The 20044-nt window shown below is 55.1% G+C and overlaps 1 protein-coding gene across 8 annotated transcripts in view, besides 4 other annotated features; it reads left to right on the forward strand.

The window, feature by feature from the left end:
* Nucleotides 1-156: 156 nt before the first annotated feature.
* The window catches only part of EBF4 (EBF family member 4), a 67329-nt gene continuing 47441 nt past the window's right edge, over nt 157-20044 (forward strand). For 2 of the 8 annotated variants that reach the window (NR_138537.2, NM_001110514.2), the window contains exons 1-7: nt 157-525; nt 1038-1159; nt 12954-13110; nt 13351-13414; nt 13586-13641; nt 15324-15397; nt 16951-17019. Coding sequence is in view for 6 of the 8 variants with exons in the window: in NM_001110514.2 (NP_001103984.2) it covers nt 211-525; nt 1038-1159; nt 12954-13110; nt 13351-13414; nt 13586-13641; nt 15324-15397; nt 16951-17019 (857 nt within the window). In the remaining 2 variants the exon portion in view is untranslated. Of the gene's footprint in view, nt 1160-1613; nt 1758-12953; nt 13111-13350; nt 13415-13585; nt 13642-15323; nt 15398-16950; nt 17020-20044 lie in introns of those variants that run through there. The other 6 variants (XM_017027984.2, XM_006723600.2, NM_001395167.1 and 3 more) reach the window with 6 other exon arrangements.
* Nucleotides 1328-2312: an enhancer, noted in NCBI's record as "H3K27ac-H3K4me1 hESC enhancer chr20:2674597-2675581 (GRCh37/hg19 assembly coordinates)". NCBI's record gives its function as "activates a minimal SCP1, AML or CMV promoter by ChIP-STARR-seq in naive H9 embryonic stem cells {active_cell/tissue: H9 hESC(naive)}" and the evidence as "EXISTENCE:reporter gene assay evidence [ECO:0000049][PMID:30033119]".
* Nucleotides 4786-5329: an enhancer, noted in NCBI's record as "H3K4me1 hESC enhancer chr20:2678055-2678598 (GRCh37/hg19 assembly coordinates)". NCBI's record gives its function as "activates a minimal SCP1, AML or CMV promoter by ChIP-STARR-seq in primed H9 embryonic stem cells {active_cell/tissue: H9 hESC(primed)}" and the evidence as "EXISTENCE:reporter gene assay evidence [ECO:0000049][PMID:30033119]".
* Nucleotides 8136-8864: an enhancer, noted in NCBI's record as "H3K4me1 hESC enhancer chr20:2681405-2682133 (GRCh37/hg19 assembly coordinates)". NCBI's record gives its function as "activates a minimal SCP1, AML or CMV promoter by ChIP-STARR-seq in naive and primed H9 embryonic stem cells {active_cell/tissue: H9 hESC(naive and primed)}" and the evidence as "EXISTENCE:reporter gene assay evidence [ECO:0000049][PMID:30033119]".
* Nucleotides 8865-9592: an enhancer, noted in NCBI's record as "OCT4-NANOG-H3K4me1 hESC enhancer chr20:2682134-2682861 (GRCh37/hg19 assembly coordinates)". NCBI's record gives its function as "activates a minimal SCP1, AML or CMV promoter by ChIP-STARR-seq in naive and primed H9 embryonic stem cells {active_cell/tissue: H9 hESC(naive and primed)}" and the evidence as "EXISTENCE:reporter gene assay evidence [ECO:0000049][PMID:30033119]".

Raw genomic sequence — 20044 nt, forward strand, 5'->3', positions numbered from 1 at the left:
CCGCCGCCGCGGCCCGGGCCCGGCCGCTCCTCCCCCGATGATGTCACGTCCCCGGCCGCCCCTCGGCCGGCCGCGCCGCCCCGCCCCCGCCTCCCCCGGGCCCCCGTCCCCTGGGCCCGCCCGCTCCCGACATCCCTCCTCCCGCCTGCGCTCCCTCCCTTCGGCTACCGCTCCCCCGGGAGCGGCGGCGGCGGCGGCGGCGGCGGCGGGATGGCCCGGGCCCGAGGCCAGGCCCCGGGGAGCGGCGGGCGGCGGCGGCCGCGGCGGGGCGGCGCGGGAACCGGGCCCCGGGGGGAGTCGGCCGGGCTGCTGCTGCTGCTGCTCCAGGTGCTGCCGCCCGGGGCTACGGCAGGGCCGGGACGCCGGGGCACGCGGGGCGCTGGCGCTGGCGGCGGCGGCGTCTGCTGGCCCGGCGCGGCCCCAGCCTTTCCCCGGGACGCGCGGCTGCTGCTGCTCCTGCCGCCGCTGCCGCCACTGTCGCCGCCGCCGCCGAGCTCCGCGCCCGCAGCCTCCGCCTCCCGGATGGTAATCAGCGCCCCGCGCTGGCGCCGCGGGCGGGCGGGCGGGCGGGAGGTGGGGGCGGCGAGGGGGAAAGGGCGGGCGGCCCCGCGCCCCCGCCTTGCCCGAGGCAGCTCCCGGGGCGCTCGGGCCCCCCCTCCGACGACCGCGGCCCCGGGCAGCCGCCAGAGCGCGCCTCTGGGGCGCCTCCGCGCGGACCGGGTGCGGGCTCCGCTCCCCGCCCTCCCCGCCCCGCTCGCAGTCCGCCCGCCAGCGCTCAGGCCGCGGGGGAATCCCTCCATCTCCCCGCCCAGCGCCCCAGGAGGGGAGGGGACAGCGCCGGCGCCCGCGGACCCGCTTTCTCCGAGGGAGCGCCCAAGAGGCGAGCGCGCACTGAGCCACCCGGACTCGGCGCTGCGCTGCTGGAGGCGCCTGGTGCCGTCGGGTCGGGCTGAGCTAGACGCCCGCAGCCTCAGCGGGACCGGATCCGGGGCGGCGGGGGCGCTCACTCACCGCGCGCCCTCATGTTCCCTGCGCAGGACGCTCTGCCCCGCAGCGGGCTGAACCTGAAGGAGGAGCCGCTGCTGCCCGCCGGCCTGGGCTCAGTGCGCTCCTGGATGCAGGGCGCGGGCATCCTGGACGCCAGCACCGCGGCGCAGAGGTAAGCGCTCGGACCGGACCCGGTGCGCTCGGGTTGGACGGCTGCGCGCCGCCTCAGCTCAGCTTGCTGGAGCTGCTGGAGCCAGGGGCGGAAGGAGCCCTAACTCTGGACGGTCCCGGCGAGCTCCCCGGCCCACCCCGTCCGGAGTGCCTGTGCTGCCTCCTGAGGCTGTGGGGCGGGCTGGGGCGGGGCTTCTGCCTCCACTCCGGGCTGCCCCGGTAGATTTCTGACGGCCGCTCGCGGGTGCGGCGGTGAACGCCACCCCAGCCGGGCTGTCTATGGCTCTGAGAGAAGAGGCAGAGCTCCCAGCCATGACCCACAGCCACCGGCCGTCTAGGAACGTCCAGCCCCTCCTTCCTGGGCAGTCCCAGTGACTCTCCTTGTCCAATTCCGCAGCTCTCTGTCAGGAAAGGCACGAAACCCAGCCCCCTTTTTCCTTTCCCACGCCCCTCAGAGTTGGCGGATGGGGGTGTGCAGAGCCAGAGAAGCGGCTGGGGGCTGGACGGTGGCGAAGAGATGAGGTGGGCAGTCGGCCTGGCTGGACTGATTGGCCTGGGAACTGGGCAGGGCCCCTGCCTTTCCCTCGGGTGTTTTTCTGGTAGGTCCTTTGGAAGGCAGAGAGTCCCTGGGAACCCAGCACCCGCGCCGGTCTCCTCTGACTCCTTTGCAGGGGTCTGGGAGTCTCAGTAGGGGGTTGACTCCAGGATTTGAAAGCGAACTTTAAAAGTTTATTGACCTGCCCCCAAAGCCCCTGCACCCCCTGGCTTTTTGCACCTTCAGCTGTGACCATGGAGGGAGGCATTTAGGTATCCTATGGGGAGTCACAGTGGTTAGGATTAGGGAGGTGCCAGCTCTGCTGACAGCTGGGACAGGGTGGGCACTTGGCTTCCCAGAAGTCTGAGCTGTTGCAGCAGCCCGAAGGGATTCTGAATGGGGGGCTTAATGCAGACCGGGCCTGACACAGGAGCCCACATTCACACTCCGCAGGACGCCTCAACCTCACCGTGTAACAGACACACACCGCGCTTCATGTGCAAACTGAAGCCGTTTCTGCACGCCGGTCCTTTCCTGGCTGTCGGGAGGGAACGCTGGGGGGCTCTGGAGCTGATCTCTTACGGAAGAGAAAGGGTCTTGTGGATGAATTAATTTCCAAAACTTTTACAAGGGATATAGCTATATTCTAGAAAAATTGGAAAATAAAAAATTTAGTCCCTCCTCTGTAATACAACTACTGTCAACATTTTAGTGTATTTCCTTCCTATTTTTCTTCCCATTAACTTGTGTTTTCCTGTGCTATGCTTACAATTCCACCTCCTGCCTATTCTTCTGTTGGTTCTGGCTTTTTTTTTTTTCAACTTGAGAAGGTTAGTTTCTTAACATGGCCCCCTCTTTGGCCCCACCACCTGCTGTGTGGCGAGAGCTCTTTGTAAGAGTGGGTGAGGAGTGCTGATGGGGGCCTCTGGGAGTTAAGGTTCCATTTCTCTGCAACCTTTCCCTCTGTGCCTACCCAGAGGCAGGTCTGATGAAGGGGAAGCAGACGTGAAGGAGGCAGTGCCCTTGGAGACTGCGTGGGGTTCAAGAAGTGTGGGGATAAGGCTTCCCCCAGAGCATGGGCCACAGCAGTGGTGTCTGCGCATAGTGGGGTTGAGTGGGCTTGGGGTGTCCAGTCTGACTCCCCACATTGTGAGGGCCACATTGCTGGGATGCAGAGGGCTTCCGCAATGTGAACAGGGGCTTTCTTCAGGCTCGGTCTGCTAATCCCCAAGTGTGGAGACTTCTCTGTCTCAGGACATAGACTAGGAGCCCCCACTCGCTTTGTTGTTCAGCTGACTTTCCTCCCTGTCCCAGAGGGAGCTGCCTCATCCTTCCTCCCCACTCTTCCCCGTGTTGTCTGTCATCACTACAGTTGTATCTGGTTCCTCAGTCAGTCCTCTGCACGGGTCTTCTCATCCCAAAACAGCAACAATGAAAATTCCTCCCCCTGGCCCTGCCTCCGCCTTCATCACGGCCTGGTTTCTCTCCCTCTCATCTCTGAGAAACTTTCACGGAAGTGCTCTCCCAAAAGACTCCCTGGGATCCGAGAGTTGGCTTTGACACCTTCCTCAGCCTCACCCCACAGTTGCCTGATTGTCAAGGCTTAGGAATGTTCTTTTCCGTGTCCTAGTCCCAATCTCAGTGCCCTCAGCCACCACTTTTAGCAATGAAACCCCCTGGCCCTCCACCCGCTTCCTCCCTGGCTTGAAGGTTAACTGCACCCTGGTTACCACCTCAGCCTCCTGGCCCAGTGCCTAGCCCCAGCCATTCACCACTCCCCTAAAACCATCTTCCCTGCATTGGGGACCAAAGCAGTATTTCCAAAGTACTTTTTTAAGATCATGTCTCTCTCCGATTACAAATAAAGTGACCAGGCTGGGCGCGGTGGCTCACGCCTGTAATTCCAGCACTTTGGGAGGCCAAGGTGGGCGTTTCACTTGAGGCCAGGAGTTCGAGACCAGCCTAGCCAACATGGTGAAACCCTGTCTCTACTAATAATACAAAAATTAGCTGGGCGTGGTGAAGCATGCTTGTAGTGCCAGCTACTTGGGAGGCTGAGGTGGGAGGATTGCTTGAGCCCGGGAGGCAGAGGCTTCGGTGAGCCAAGATCGCACCACTGTACTCCAGCCTGGGCGGCAGAGTGAAACTGTGCCTCAAAAATAAATAAGTAAATAAATAAAATAAAATAAAATAAAGTGACCAACCCCCAAGCCCCACTGCTTCCTCATGGATATCTCCAACATTCAAGGCCTATCATGGTCTGACTCCAGCCTTCCTCCCCAGCCTCCTCTGCATGATGCTTGGCAGGCAGTGGATACTTGGAGAATTAGCTGCGCCTCCAGTAAGTGCTATGGTCTATTGAAACAATCCCTCTGCCCTCAGCACCCGCACATCCCCTGGATTAAGTCTCACCAGCCTCAGGACTCCCTCTTACACCCACCGACCCCAGCAACTGCTCTTTCTGTGCCCTCCCACCCTGCCCACGGGAGTGGCTTTAATGCTGCCTACGAATGCTTACCATAGGCCAGCATCTGCTCTCCTCTGCCTGTCCCGGTCCTCCTTGCCCTGCCAGCTGGGGCCTTCCCCTAAGGCAAGGGTAGCGGTCCGTTCATCCTTGTGTCCACAGCACCCAGGGCAGGCTCAGGCAGTCCATGGGGGATGGGGGTGATGACTGTCTGCCGGAGGAAGCAGTAATGTTTCTCAGAGGCTCCCAAGTCCCCTTATATTGGTTCCCCTCTTGACTTTGGAAGACTCCAGGTTCTACCTGACCCAGGAATCAGCTACTGGAGCAGCTTCTCCTGCCCAGTTCTACAGCTTGACTTTTACAACAATGCCAAGATTTTACAGAAGGTGGGTGGGGAGGAAAAGGCCCAGAAGGCCTGCTAAGATCAGCGAGGGAGGCTCTGCCAACAGGAAGGAAAGTTCTGAGCAAAAGAGGGGTAGGGAGGGCCGGGTGCGATGGCTCACGCCTGTAATCCCAGCACTTTGGGAGGCCGAGGCAGGCAGATCACGAGGTCAGGAGATCGAGACCATCCTGGCTAACACGGTGAAACCCCGTCTCTACTAAAAATACAAAAAATTAGCCGGGCGTGGTGGCGGGCGCCTGTAGTCCCAGCTACTCAGGAGGCTGAGGCAGGAGAATGGCGTGAACCCGGGAGGCGGAGCTTGCAGTGAGCCGAGATCGCGCCACTGCACTCCAGCCTGGGTGACAGAGCGAGACTCTGTCTCAAAAAAAAAAAGAAAGAAAGAAAAAGGGGGTAGGGAGAGCAGAGGGGCTGCATACCCTTAAACTGGAGGCAATGGGGATGGGAACGCTGGTGGAGAGGGCTGCCCTCTCCCTACCAATGTCTTCCTACCAGGGAAGTCTGCACAAGGACCCCCTGCCCCTGCCCTGAGCCAACAGGACGTTATCTCTGAGATCCATTTGCCCAGCCCCAGCCCATCTTCCCCTGACTCCCCTGAAGACTCAAGTCCTCCTGCTGGCACACTCAGCACAGAAGTAGCTCTCTTCTCCTTCTGATGTGCTTCCCAGTCTGGGGAGACCTCTGGAAGGCCCAGGCCAGACCTCCCCCTGGAGCTGATCCCTGCACACTAGCAGGGCCCCGGAGAGGGAGGCCAGCTGGGGCTGCCTTTCCTGTAAGCAGCTGCAGGCTAGCATCCCTGCTAGGAAATGCTTTTGTTTGCTTTAATAATTCATAGCCGATTCTCAGCCTGGGACCTGGCAGGCAGGCCTGTGGGTGGGTGGCGAGAGGGTGGGCAGAGAGCAGTGGAGTGGGGAGTCTTTAGGTAGAATTGAGGGCCAAAAGAAGAGGGGGAGAGCAGGCCTGTGAGATTCTTCCCCCTCCCTTTCCCCTGCCCTCAGGGACTTTGGTCACTGTGCCAATTTCCTGGGGCAGGTGAGCAGGGCAGCTGCTGGGGGCAGTGGGAAGAGGGGATAGGGACCCTCCCCAGACCCAAACCTCATCTCCAGCAGGACCAACTGGACACAGGCTCTGGGCAGCTGCCTGCAGCCACCAGGTCCTCCCTGTGCAAGCATTGTTGAGGTGGGTGTGCCCCACTGGGCTACTGCTTTTATCTTCCCCAGTCTGCACCATGGCCAGGGGCTGGCATGTCAGGGGCTGGGCAGGGCCAGGCCAATAGATCTTGTCTGGGGCAGGAGGGCCAGGCCCAGCTTGATCATCATCAGCAGTCCCGGGGTCCAGAGGGTGCCTGCAGGGGAGAGCAGGGGCCAATGGGATGCTTGGAGGAAGGGGGGATGTAGAGGAAAGGGACTGGTGGAGCCCTGTCAGGATGGGGCTAAGAAGAGCTGGACTTAGCAGAGAGAGACTTTGGGGAAATCTGCGAAAAGGGATGAGATGCAGGAGTTTTTGCTCCCTCCACTTCCTGGGGTGATGGGTGTCAACAAAGAGCCTCCCCCCATTACTGATGAAAGTAGGGCTTGTCCCCCGTAGCCCTAGCATCCCAGACTCAAAGACAAATTAGGACCAGGGCAAGGCACGGCTCAAAACCTTGAGTTATCAAGGCAGCCAGGAGTTAGGTTTTGGTGGGGAGAAGGGAAGGCAAGACGCCTGGGGGTGCCTCTGAGAGGAGGCCGAGGCTCCAGCCTTGGTCACTTGTCCTCTGTGGGATTTGAGCTGGCTGTGGTTAAATTGCTTACTATAACAAGCATGCAGTCAAGGATGTGAAGAGCCGTGAGTGGCCTTGGGAAGAGAGAACAGAGACTGTGAGGGGGGCTTTGTCTGTACCAGACAGTTATGCTGTGGCAGGGGAGAGCAGCTGCCGCGAAAAGGGCCCTGGAGTGTCCTGCTCAGCCTTGCAAAGGAGCATCTCCCGGGACCTGCTGGGCAGCCCCAGCAATAGCAGTCAGACACCTCTGCAGCTGCTGGCATCTCCCCACAGGCATCTGCATACACTCTGGAGCACAGTCCACCTGAATGACCTAGTCTGTGAAGGTCAGGTTGCCCTTGGTGTTGACTTGAACCTGGATTCCCAACAGTGCTCAGGAAGTCCATGCACACCCATGCTCACTACAAAGCATGTTGACTCTGACCAAAATGCATCTGTGCAACGTAAATCTTTTTTGGTGTCTCAAACAGTCTCCTTTAATTTTCGGTCTATTTAAGAATGAAAGATGGAAAGGAGGTGAGTGGGGCACAATGAAAATACAAAAGCGAGCATATTCTCTTCCCAAATCTGGGTTCTTTAGTACGGGGGCAAATGTCCCACTGCCTCAGGACACTCTGGAGTTGAGAAGAAAGTGTTTTGAACATTGTGCTTTAAACAATCTTTTTAAGAAAGCGAGGAAATGTATAATTCATTTTGCAGTCTTGCAGAAGTGGTTAATGTGGCTGATTTTGTCACTCAGCTGCATTTCTCTGGAAAAGGCGTTTATGTGGCATGGTTTGTTCACTAATGATGCTAAGTGAATAAGCTGTTTCTGAATTATGGGTGCCAGCAGTACATGTGCCAGGTGAGGCAGTTCTTACTTGTATTTGTCATAAACTGATACCTGCCAAGCTGCACTCAGGCCCTTGGGGCTGTAGCTTTGCTGGCATCCATCGTACCCCAGGCCTCTGAATGGCTGGCAGTTGGTACCCACCCACATCCCCTCAGGACCATTGGTCAAGGCTCTGCCTCCCCTGCTGTTAGCTGCTTCCCTTTGCTTGAGGACTTGCTCAGGCTGCCAGAGCCTGCTCTGCTCAGCCCAGAAGTACCTGAGAAGTAACAGCCGTAGAAGCCCTCCACCAGTGACTGACTGGAGTTGGTGGATAAATACCCCAGCTCCCTCACCCATCCCTCTGGTGGGATAATGCTGAGGCACACATTCCATGCTGTTTCCAGAGTTCCCCGTGGGATGGAGCTCCAGGTGCCTACAGTGGGGACTTGAAAATGCACCCTCTATAGGCTGCTTTCTCATCTTTGTCTCACCCCCAACCCCCAGTGTTTCCGAATCACTGCCCAGATAACACTGTTGGTATTTGCATCCTTGTCCCCAGGTCTGCTTCTCGGGGAACCCAAATAAAATACTTGCCTCTCCAGGCTTCAGAGGCTCTATTCCCCCTTCTCTCCCCCTTTCTTTCTTTTAAATTAAGGATACATATCAAAAGACATACGTGCAGTTTCTCTCCACACCCCAATGTTTGTCTTAGGCAGCGCCACTTTGGAGCGGCACCATGAGATCAAAGACTTTGGCCTTGGTCCACATCTCTCTGTCTCTAAGCCAGTCTGAGAGCAGACAGTGGCCCCCACATCCCACCTGTGTCCCCACACATCTGCACCCAGGATGTGCTCATCAGGGGCCCTCAGACCACTCAGCACCTCCTGAGCTGTTTGAGTCTCTATCCCTGTTTCTTTTTTTCTGTTCTTTAGTCCGGGTTTGTTTTCTCATTACAAGAGCATCAGCTTGTAATCAGCTTGTAATCTCCCCTTCCCCTTCCCCAGCCCTCTCTCTTTGGAACTTGCATTTCCATTCTACAAGTGTTGATTGGTCACCTCCTGCATGTTGGGGTCAATCAGGAGAAGGAGGCACCGTCCACACCTGCCTCTGTTGCTCTCGAGTCCTATTCCCCGCAACATGCTGTTCCTCGTGTCCTTCTCCGTCTCTTGTTCATAGGAAGTATCCTTTGCTTGAGCTTCTCCAAGCCTGGCAGGGCTATGAACAGGGTGAGCCGGAGACATTCCCAGGCAAGGGGCAGCCCCATGTGCGCTGCAGGGCTCTTGCCCACTCTGCAGTCCTCCTCTGGTTGGAAGGGGCGGGGGCCGTCATTAACACTGCCCTGTTGTTGTCCATGGCACGGATCTTGTCCTGCAGCTGTAAACTAACCAGTGCTGCTCCATGGGTGGGTGTGAGCCTGGGAGGATGAGTGTGCCTCAGACCCACTGAGCCGTGCTGGGGAAGTGCAGGATGCCGCTCTGGGCTGCCTCGGGGCAGTGGACTGATCCTAAACCTACTATGGGGCAGGGCACAGGCATGCAAAGCAGGGCAGCCCCTCCATGCCCCCAGCTGGCAGGAGACACTGGCCCAGAGACCCCAGGGGAACCTGCTGTCTTCCCCCCTCCCAGGTCCCTGTGCCCTTGCTCCTGTGTAATCCCCTCCTGCAGGGATGCTGAGCCCTGGGAAGGAAGCTTGGCTTGGGGCTTATGCCAGACTTCCCAGGTCTGGTCCTCAGCAGCCTGGCAGGAGCTGGGGGGCAGCCAGGACCCAGCAATGGCTGATATTTGGGTGGGACAGGAAGCTCAGGCCAGCATCTGTGATTTATGCTGCACCAGTCTGGAATTTGGCCTGAGCACTTGCAGGGTGTCTGTGTAGAAAGGGCATGTCCAGTGGTCTGGGAGATTCCGTTATTTCTCAGCACCCACCACTCCTCTGGCAAGGCTTCCTTTTCTCTCTATAGCCTCCCTCCCCACTGCCTGAGAGCCTTCCAGGCCCCTTCGCTGGGCTAGATGACAGGATATAAAAGCCACAGGGACCTGGGAGTGCTTCACAAACCCATCTCCTCTGGCCTTCTCTCCCACTAGGTGGTCCTGGAACCCATCCCCAGTGGAGTTCAAGTTAAGCTGGTCCTGGGAGCAGGAGGGAGGAGCTCAGGGTTGAGGCCTCATTAGCATATTCATCAACAGTAATCAGGGCCCCGCTGTGATCGAAAGCCCTCTTAGGGCTTCCCTGCCTCTTGCTGGCTGGGGAGCGGGTGAGGGGCGATCAAGGCCTCAACTTGAAAGGACTGCAGCCTGAGGGCAAGGGGGTGGAGGGAGCAGGGAAAGATGGAGGGACAGTGAATTCCCTAGGGAAAGGAGCATCTGTAAAAAGAATCTGTGGTCAGAAAGAAAGGTGTTGAGGCCGGGCGCAGTGGCTCAAGACTATAATCCCAGCACTTTGGGAGGCCAAGGCAGGAGGATCGCTTGAGCCCAGGAGTTCAAGATCAGCCTGGATAACACAGTGAGACCCCATCTCTCCAAAATTAATTAGCTGGGCATGGTGGCTCATGCCTGTAGTCCCAGCTACTCGGACGGCTGAGGTGGGAGGATCACGTGAGCCTAGGAGGTTGAGGCTGCAGTGAGCTATAATTGTGCCACCGCACTCCAGCCTGGGTGACAGAGCAAGATCCTGTCTCAAAAAAAAAAAAAAGATACTGGAGGTCCCCTCCCCTCATCTTGATCAGGGACAAGAAGACTTATGGCTTCTGCCTCCTAAGTCAGCATTTCATGTGGATAACTGAGGGAGGCTCCGGGGCAAGCTTTCAAGAGGAGGAAACATTTTCCATTTTACTATTTATTATAACTTGTATGTGTAAAACAATAGCAAGTCCCTCATGCCCATGACATCCCAGGTGTTATGGCTTAGCCTGAAGCCAAGTAAAAGAATAAATTGATTTAAAGTTATATGAAGAAAAATAGTAAGTAGTGGTGACTGTGGCAGCCATTGTCACAGGAGCATGCTCATGATGGGCACCTGGACAAGCTGACCTAAGTGGTCCTCAAGGCAGTTCCCCATCCTGGTCACTCCCCTGCATCCCTGCAGCAGCCTCTCTCTTGTCCCCCACACTGCACCCTCCTTTCCCCCATAGCATCTTTAAGCCCTGCCTGGCTTCAGAACTTTCTAGTGGCCTTTAGTCATGTTTCCGAAACCATGACCCTCAACAAAAGTGCTCCGTAGTCAGGTAAGCAGGGTGTGTTAGTTGGCCAGGTGTAGTGGTTGGCACCTGTAATCCCAGCACTTTGGGAGGCCAAGATGGGAGAAAGCTGGAGCCCAGAAGTTCAAGTCCAGCCTCATCTCTACAAAAAGTAAACAAAATTATCCAGGCATGGTGGTGCATGCCTGTAGTCCCAGCTAGTCAGGAGGCTGAGGTGGGAGGATTGCCTGAGTCCCAGAGGTTGAGGCTACAGTGAGCTGAGATCACACCACTGCACTCCAGCCTGGACAACAGAGCAAGACCCTGTCTTAAAAAAAAAAAAAAAAAAAAAAAGTTACTCCAAGCTGAGTATGGTGGCTCACACCTGTAATCCCAGCTCTTTGGGAGGCTGAGGCAGGAGGATCGCTTAAGTCTAGGAGTTCAAGGTTGCAGTGAGCTATGATCACGCCACTGCACTCCAGCCCGGATGACAGAGCAAAACCCTGTCTCAAAAAAAAGTATTCCAGGTTGGGCATGGTGGCTCATGCCTGTAATCACAGCACTTTGGGAGTCCAAGGCAGAAGGATCATTTAGCCGGGTGTGGAGGCATGCACCTGTAGTCACACCTACTTGGAGGACTGAGGCAGCGGGATCATTTGAGTTAGTAGGTCGAAGCTGCAGTGAGCTGTGATTGCAGCCTGCACTCCAGCCTGCGTGACAGAGTGAGATCCTGCCTTGAAGAAAAAAAGGCGGGGCAGGTCTTGAGCCCAAGTCTTCAAATTTGTATCTAAAAAGAAAAAAAAAACCGACTCCAAAACTTAGCAACTTAAAACAACAAACATTTATTATCTCACACAATTTCTGAGGTCAGAATAAGGGAGCAGACTAGCCTGGTGGTTCTGGATCAGGGCCTCTCATGAGGCTGCAGCAAGATGAGAGCTGGGGCCGCAGTCGTCTGAAGGATTGACTGAGGCGGGTGGATCTGCTTCCAAGGTCGCTCATGCTGGCAAGTCAGGGCTGGCTATCGGCAGGAGGCCTCAGTTATTCTCCCTGTGGACCTCTCCATAGGGCTACTTGAGTGTCATCAAGACATGGCAGCTGGCTTCCCCCTGAATCACTAATCCAAAAAAGGGAAGAAGTCAGAAGCTGCAGTGCTTTTATGATCTAACCTTGGAAGTTATATGCTATTACTCCTGCCATAGTCTATTGACCTCACAGGCCAATCCCAACACAATACAAGAGGGGGCTAACTAAGGGCATGAATCCCAGGGGGTGGGGCTCACTGGGAACCATCTTGTAGGCTGGCTTCCACACATGCAGAGCACCAGCCCTAGCCAACTCAAGCAGGGTACATTCCTGGAGGGTGTCCTAGGGGCCCCCAAATACACCCATGTCTGTGGCCACAGCACCCTTTTCTAAAGGGAGGCTCTGGAGCCATGAGAGATCTAAGGAACACACTTTGGAAGGCCGTGGCTCAGAGAAGAGAATCTAACCCCTTCCCCTGGTGTCTGTGTCCTTCCATGATCTGGCACGAACTTCCAGTACAAACTTTCCTCCTTTCACTTCGCTTTTTGACACCTGCGGTACAGCAGCAGCCTCTACACATCCAGCCATTCCTTGTGCTGTTTATTCTGCCCTTTTTCTTGTTCATCTGTTGAGCTCCTGTTTATTCCTCAAGGACTTAGGGGAAAGCCACCATTCCATGAAGCCTTCCCTTCATCTCCCATAAAAAGAATTAATATTTTCTTCCTTTGCTTCTCCAGTTTTTTTGCATGGACATCTTTGGGGGGCACCTGCCCCTTTGTCTGATGTTGTACCTCTCTCTCTGTCTCCCCTCTTCCAGGCATTTGCTCCTAGCCCCAGTTGTTGCCATGTGTCCAGTGCTTGGTGTATCACTGGGATGCAGGGGATATTTGGGGAAGAGGGAATGCCTTCCTCCTGCTCTCACTCTGGCCTTGCTTCTGGGCATGGTTTCTGATGAGCCAGGAGAGATCCCTTAGCAAGGCCAGAAGAGAAGTTCCTCCTGCCCAAGGGAGCCTGTGGTTGTCTCTCCCAAAGCCTGGAGGCAGGTTCCTCTACACTTTGGGGGTGCTCCCTACCTTCAGCCAGGGCCCAGGCCAGGCAGACTAGTGGTCCTGAGCCAGTTTGATGCCTCCAAGGGTCTGATGGACATCGCCATTCCCCAGGCAACACCACAGGCTCATGACAGCCTCAGCCTGGGCTGGGGTTTAGTGGGATATTTGTTCTAGGGCCCCCGGGGTCTCCTTGAAGCCCTAAAGGGCAGTCACAAGAGCCTCTGGTCAGAAAGACAGATTGGTTCATACTTTTGATTTTTGAGACTGGCCTTGCAAAATGTGCTGCCCAGGGAAAAGCCTGGGAGGGAGACTGACAGGGCCTCCTCCTTTGCAGTCACCACTCTGCCTCTTGTTTTCCAGGGGGCAGGCTGGGGTGCCCTAGGTGCTGAGAGACCTCTATCTGGAAGCGAGATGGCCCTGGTCAGGCTGGAAAGGGCCTGTCTAGTTGGATTTTTTGCCCAAACTCTTGGCATCTTGGAGCCATGTCCTGGCTAGCATGCCTGCCTGGCCCGAGGCGCTGGAGTCTTTCTCACTGGGGGGCCTTCCAGTGGTTTTCCAGCTCTTTTCCTCCCACAGTGGCGTGGGTCTGGCACGAGCACATTTTGAGAAGCAGCCTCCCTCCAACCTCAGGAAATCCAACTTCTTCCACTTCGTGCTGGCCATGTACGACCGGCAGGGGCAGCCCGTGGAGGTGGAGCGCACAGCCTTCATCGACTTCGTGGAAAAGGACCGAGTGAGAGGCTCATGGGCTTGGCTGGGACTGGCCCCGGGAGGGAACCCCCAACCACACACACACACACACACACACACACACACACACACACACACACACACACACTGGGACAGATGAATGGATGGAAGCTGGCTGAGTGGCTGGAAGGGTGGGAAAGAAGTTGGGGTTAGGAGAAGGGGTGGACAAGGGAGGCTGGAGGATCCCTGAGCACCCGAGCATCCTCCCATCTTGTCCCTGCAGGAGCCCGGGGCGGAAAAGACTAACAATGGGATCCATTACCGCCTCCGGCTGGTGTATAACAATGGTGAGTGGAGGCCCCTGCCCTACCCAGCCCTGCCCCTGAAGTCTGGGCACTGCAGCATCATGCGACACCTAATGCCCCCTGTGCCAGGGCTGGGGAGGGTGTGATGTGGTCTGGTCATTGAGGCTGCACATGCTCCCCCAGCAGCAAGCCCTCTCCATCTTCCCATCCTAGGACTGCGGACAGAGCAAGACCTCTACGTGCGTCTCATCGACTCCATGTCCAAACAGGTGAGTCAGCGCAGAGGGTGCTGAGGCCCATCTCACTCTCTTCCCGGACCCTGCCTCCCCCTGGTCTGAGTGAGCCTCCTTGTTCCTGCCCTCATCTCCCTATGCCCTCCGTCCCCATCAGCCTAGCTCCCCCAGTTCCCACCCCAGCCTGTGCCGGAGGGTGTGTGGCTTTTGCCCTCTGTTCTAGAAAAGACAATATTTGTACAAAAACCCTGGCTTGGGTCATGTTTCCTAGCAGCCCAGCCTTAGATGGGAACTCAGGTGCAGGTAGTTTATTTGGGGAGATGGGAGGGGCTCCTAGGAGCAGGGGAGGGAGGTAAGCTGGACAGAAAACTGCACAGGGAGCTCTGGAGAAGGAATGGCACCAGAAGTGTCCCCCCTCGAAGCAAGTACCAGGATTTTGCACCCCGTATCAATTAGTCATTGGCTGGGAACCACTCCTAAGGGTAGCACGTAACCTCTGAGACATTTTCAGACCAGGCAGTTCCTGTCCACTGAGAGCAGTTCTCAGGAGGAAGCCCTCTGCAGCTGACATCAGCCACAGCCACGGGAAGGTGCACATTTCCAGTAAAGGGGATGTGGGCACAGCCCTGGGAATTTCCACTGCAGACCCTTGCACCTTGCTGATGTGACGGTTACGGGAAGGAGGCTCAGAGGCCAGCACAAGGAGCTGGAGGAAACTGAAACCTGAACAGGCTCTGATGGATTCTGCCAACACAGGGCCCCAAATCTCAGGGCTTTTCAGAGAAGCTGTGCATGCTGGCAAGGAGGGGGCTGAGTCTCAAATGGGCCAGATTAGTGGGCTAGGAATGCAAGCTGGAGATCTGGGCTTCCTACATAGGCAGGGTCTTTTGGCAGCCTCCACCCAATCCCAGGGCAGAGGGAAGAATGGTTTGTTTCTAGAATACCCATGGCCACTGGGCTGGGGGAGGCAGGCCAGGCAGTGCCTAGTGGAACTGTCAAGGGGACGGGTGTGGAAGGGGTTCGAGGAAGTCCACAGAGAGAGGGATCCCACAAATGGGGGAAGGCACAGAGGGTTATAAACTAGGAAGGCAGATTTGCAGTTAGGAAGCTCACTTCTTGCTTCTGGGCAGAGGGAGGCTGGAAGACTGGTGAGGAGGTGATGCAGCAGTCCCAGGGGAAGACCGAGCCTGGGCTAGGGATGGTATGGGGGAAGAGGCGATAGTTATCTAGGGGGAAGAGGCAGCTGTGCAGCCCTCGGAGCTGACTGGGCTGGCAGGGATAGCTGAGAAGGACAACACTCATCAACAGAAGCAGAGGTCCGTCAGGACATGGAGGATGCACACAGGAGGATGCTGGGGGAGGGGAGGGGCCTGGTGCTGGGTGGGCACAGGAGTATGTCTACCCCACCAGCCACCTGACCTTTGTCCTGGCACCCTGAGGAACCCCCTGCCCCAAGCAGAGCCAGCTCTGGAAAGAGCCACCTACAGACAGACAGAATCTGCAGACTTCATACCATTCTTGCCAGCCGGTGGTGGTCCGGTTTGGGAGGAGGGGTTATCCCCCGCCTGGGCAGCCCAGAGCAAGGCAGAGGGCGTGCTCTTCCCTGGGGCAGGGTCTCCCTGGGCCTAGGCTTGGGAGATGCCAGGTCCGTCTGTGCTGCCACCTGCACCTCAGAGGAGCCTCCTTCCCCTCCAGCCTGTGCACCTCCCTCTCCCCAGGCCATCATCTATGAGGGGCAGGACAAGAACCCCGAAATGTGCCGAGTGCTGCTCACCCATGAGATCATGTGCAGGTGAGATGGCCATGTCACTCACACCTCACCCCTCTGCCAAGGCGTTTCTGAGGACTCTACCCAGGCCCTGCCCCCTCGCCGCCCTTGCCCCTGGCTGCTCTCTGCTGCTGCTCCCTGGAGAAGCCTGGTGGCAGGTGATGAAGGGAGTGGTGAGGCCCCTGGGCACAGCGCTGGCTGAGGAGAGGGTCCTTGAGGCCCCATTAGCCTGGCCTGTTTATGTGGCTTCTCCGAGTGTTTTTGTAAGAGAGGCCTCCTGCTGCCACTGGGAAGCTTAGCTAATAAAGCTCAGGGGAGGGCTGCTGGGGTTGCGGGAACAGGGTCTGGGAAGGCCTCTGGGATTAGCTCAGAAGCTAATCTTTGAGGAAATTTTGAATCCTAGGGCAGCTCTCTGGCAGGGCAGGGTGGGAGTGAAGGGGTGCACAGCCCTTGGCTCCCTTTTCCCCATTATCCCAGAGCTTGGCATTTCTAGTAAGGTCTCCCCAAGAGATGCCAGTCGTACAGGGTCCTCGGAGGCAGTTCCTGATGCATGGAAAAGAGAACAGGGTTCTGAAATCTGTGGTTGGTAGCCAGGCGCCTGTAATCCCAGCTACTTGGAAGGCTGAGGCAGGAAGGCTGAGGCATGAGCGCAGGAGTTCAAGGCTGCAGTGAGCTATGATTGCACCACTGCATTCTAGCCTGGGTGACAGATCCAGACCCTGTCTCTAAAAAAATAAATAAAGTAAAATAAATTTAAATTAAATAAATCTGTGGTTGGAACTGTGGCTACCCTTGGAAAAGGGAGTGACAAGGAAGAGGCATGACCGGCATCTGGGCTGCTGGCCACGCAGCACTTCTTGGTGTGGATGCTGCTTTCATGGGCAGATTCACTTTGTGGCCATCCATTGGCCAGGCACAATGGCTCACGCCTGTAATCCCAGCACTTTAGGAAGCCGAGGCGAGCGGATCACTTGAGGCCAGGAGTTCAAAAGCAGCCTGGCCAACGTGGTGAAACCCCGTCTCTACCAAAATTACAAAAATTAGCCAGGCGTGGTGGTGCACACCTGTAATCCCAGCTATGTTAGGAGGCTGAGGCACAAGAATTGCCTGAACTCAGGAGGCAGAGGTTGCAGTGAGCCAACATCACGTCACTGTACTCCAGCCTGGGTGACAGAATGAGACTCTGTCTCAAAAAAAAGAAAAAAAGATTCACTTTGTGGTCATTCATGAGCTCACCGTTTGAGCTCCTGTCTCTGCGTAGACTGTGCTTCCATAGAGAGAAACCCTGTAGGTGACCTGCAGCCTGCCCTTTCCTGGGTCCTCCAGGAACGAGGTGCCTTTGGGGCAGGGGTCTCTGGCCAGCCTCATCCCCAGGCTAGGCTCTCAGGGTCCCTGCGGAGGAGCCCACAGCCTTTCTCCCCCAAGCCCTGGGAGTGAGCCCCTCCAGCCCAGGGATTCCACACCCAGAGACAGGACATCAGCACCCTCAGCTCAGGGCGCCCCCCACAACTCACACACTGTCGTGGCCCCCTCCTTCCTTGGCTTCTGCCTTCCCTCCTTCCTCATCTTTCCTTCAGCCGGTGCTGTGACCGGAAGAGCTGTGGCAACCGGAATGAGACGCCCTCAGACCCCGTCATCATTGACAGGTACAGGCTCAGGGAGGGGGCCTGGAAGCTCAGAGGAGAGTGGGGGAGGGGCAGCTGTTTTCAACCACAGAGCACCAAGGCTCAAGGGAGGAGCGGAGCAGCCCCCCCGGGGCACCAGGTTGGGTGGCTCTGAGCAGAGAGGGAAACTGCCAGGCACCAGGGAGCCTCCAGCCGTGGCCCCTGAGTGAGGCCCCAGGTGGCCAACTTTCTGGAGCTGCTTTCCCCGACTCCCTGAGAGAAGGAGCCAGGGAGGGCAGGGAGGTTGAGAGGGGGGTGGGAAGGGAGGGGAGGAACCAGCACTCAGGAACCGTCCAGGTGGAGTGGCCAGCGTGGTCATGTCAGCAAAAACCAGGCTCAGGTTCCCAGTTCACCCCTGTGCTGTCTGACCTGACTTCTCTGAACATTCGTTTCTTTCACTGGAAAAGTGGGGAAAGAGCTGGCAGGTTTCAGTCATAGAATTGTCGAGGTGATGCATGTAAAAGTGCATTTGCACACCATGATTTCTATTTCTTTATTTTGTGTGTGTGTGTTTGTTTTGTTTTGTCGCCCAGGCTAAAGTGCAGTGGTGTGGTCATGGCTCACTGCAGCCTCAATCTCCGAGGTTCCGGTGATCCTCCCACCTCAGCCTCCCAGGTAATTGGGACTACAAGGACACGCCTCCACACCTGGCTAATTTTTTGTATTTTTTGTAGAGACCGGGTTTTGCCATATTGCTCAGGCTGGTCTTGAACTCCTGGGCTCAAGCAATCCACCCACCTCGACCTTCCAAAGTGCTGGGATTACAAACATGAGCCACTGTGCCTGGCCTACTTCTTTTTGAAGAGGAAATGCATAAATAAGGTGTAAAATTCAAATGGTACAAAACAGTAAATAATGAAAAGGAAGTCTCCCTCCACCCCTATGTAGAGCATACTGTACATGTTTTTTTTTTTTGGTAACAATATATTTTAGATATTCCACACAGGAACATAAACCATATCTTATTCTCCTTTTAATAGAAAAAGCATTCATAGGTGCAAAAATTCAAGAAGCTTAAAAGGGTTTACAGCAAACTGTCTCCCACCTCTGTCTCCCACCCATCCATTCCCCACCAAATAAGCTACCACTATTAGCAGTTTCTGTTGTATCCTTCCTGAGATAGTCTGTGCATATACAACAAAATAGTTATATGTTCTTTTTGTACCCTTTCCTTTTGTTTTTATAAAAATGGTGACAGTGGCTGAGTGCAGTGGCTCATGCCTGTAATCCCAACACTTTGGGAGGCTGAGGCAGGGGGATTGCTTGAGCCCATGAGTTTGAGACCAGCCTGGCCAACAGGGTAAAATCCCATCTCAACAAAAAATACACACACAAAAATTAGCTGGGCATGGTGGTGTACATCTGTGGTCCCAGCTACTCAGGAGGCCGAGGTGGGAGGATCACCTGAGCCCAGGAGGTCTAGACTGCAGCGAGCTGTGATTGTGCCACTGCACTCCAGTCTGGGCAACAGAGTGAGACCCTGTCTAAAATAATAATAATAATAATAATAATAATAATAAAATTAAATTAAAATTAAAATGGTGGCAGGAAGCAGAACTTTCAGCACCTTTCTTTTTCCTTGAAAAATTTAGATCTGGGAGTTTACATCAGGACACAAGAAGTCTCCTTATTCTTTTTTGCCACTGCAAAATATTTCATTGTATGGGTATGCCATAATTTATTTAAATAGTCAGATATTGCTGGACATTTTGGTTGTTTTCATCCCTTTTCAGGGATTTAAAAATGCTGCAGTGAATTACTTTGTCCATGTGCCATTTCACACGTGTAAATTTATATGAAGGCTATTACTAAGTAGAATTGCTGGGACAAAGAATATGTGCATTTGTAGTTTTGATAGCTACTGCCAATTCGATCTCTGTAGGGGTTATACCAACAGCATTGAAACCAGCAATTTTGAGAATGCCTATTCCTTACACTCTGGCCAATTAAGTATTTTTGTTTATTTGTTCAATCAACAATTCTTGAGCATCTACTCTGTGCTAAGAACTTTTCTACATGCTGTGGATTAAGCAATGACCAAAATAGACAAAAAGCCTTGTGTTCACGGGCTTACAATCTGGTAGGGGAAATAGACATTAACAAACTAAATGAAAAAAATACATAGCATGTTAGATGGTGATAACAGCTAAGAAAAATAAAGCCATTGAGGAAGATCTGGGAGTGCCTAGGAAGGAAGGTTTGAAGCTTTAGGGTATTTAAGGTCTCACTGAAAAGATGACATTTGAGCCAAGACCTCAAGGAAGTAAGAGAGTGAGCGATGTATTTATGTATCTGGGGGAAGAATATTCTCGGCAAGAGTGTGCCTGCTGTGTTTAAGGGAAAACAAGGAGGCCCAGGTGGCTGGAGCAAGGAAGGTAGTAGGAGGAAATGATGTCAGGAATAATGAATGGGGCAGAGGAAGGCACGACCATGCAGGGTCTTATAGGCTGCATGGAGGCCACACTTGTGGGTCATTGTAAGGGCTTTGGCAGGACATGGAAGCCATTGAGGGGTGTTGAGAATGATAAGACCTGCCTTATATTTTAGCAAGATCACTCTAGCTGCCATATTGACAATGACCTGTACAAGGCAGGGAGATGAGTTAGGAAGCCAGTACAATAGCCCAGGTGAAGGATGATGGAAGCTGAGACTAGGGATGCTATAGGGGAGGTTGTAAGAAGCGGCTGCATTCTGTGTACATTTCATTTCATAGGCAGGACTGACAGGATTTGTTATGGAAGGAGAGAGAGAGAGTCAAAGACTCAAAGATGTCTCCAAGGTTTCTGACCTATCAACTTAGAAGGATGGAGTTTCCTGAGAAGGGTGTGATTTGGGGAAGAGCAGGTTTTGGAGGAGAAAGATCTGGAGTTTGGTTTGAGCATGTTATGTTTATGATGCTCACTAAACATCCAAGTGAGGAGCTGAAAAAGCCACAGAAAACATGAGGATGGGACTCAAGAGAAAGGTTCAGGCTGCAGATGTAAATTTGAATGAATGAAATCATCGA

The sequence above is a fragment of the Homo sapiens genome, chromosome 20 (assembly GCF_000001405.40).
Source record: "Homo sapiens chromosome 20, GRCh38.p14 Primary Assembly".
Classification (NCBI taxonomy): domain Eukaryota; kingdom Metazoa; phylum Chordata; class Mammalia; order Primates; family Hominidae; genus Homo; species Homo sapiens.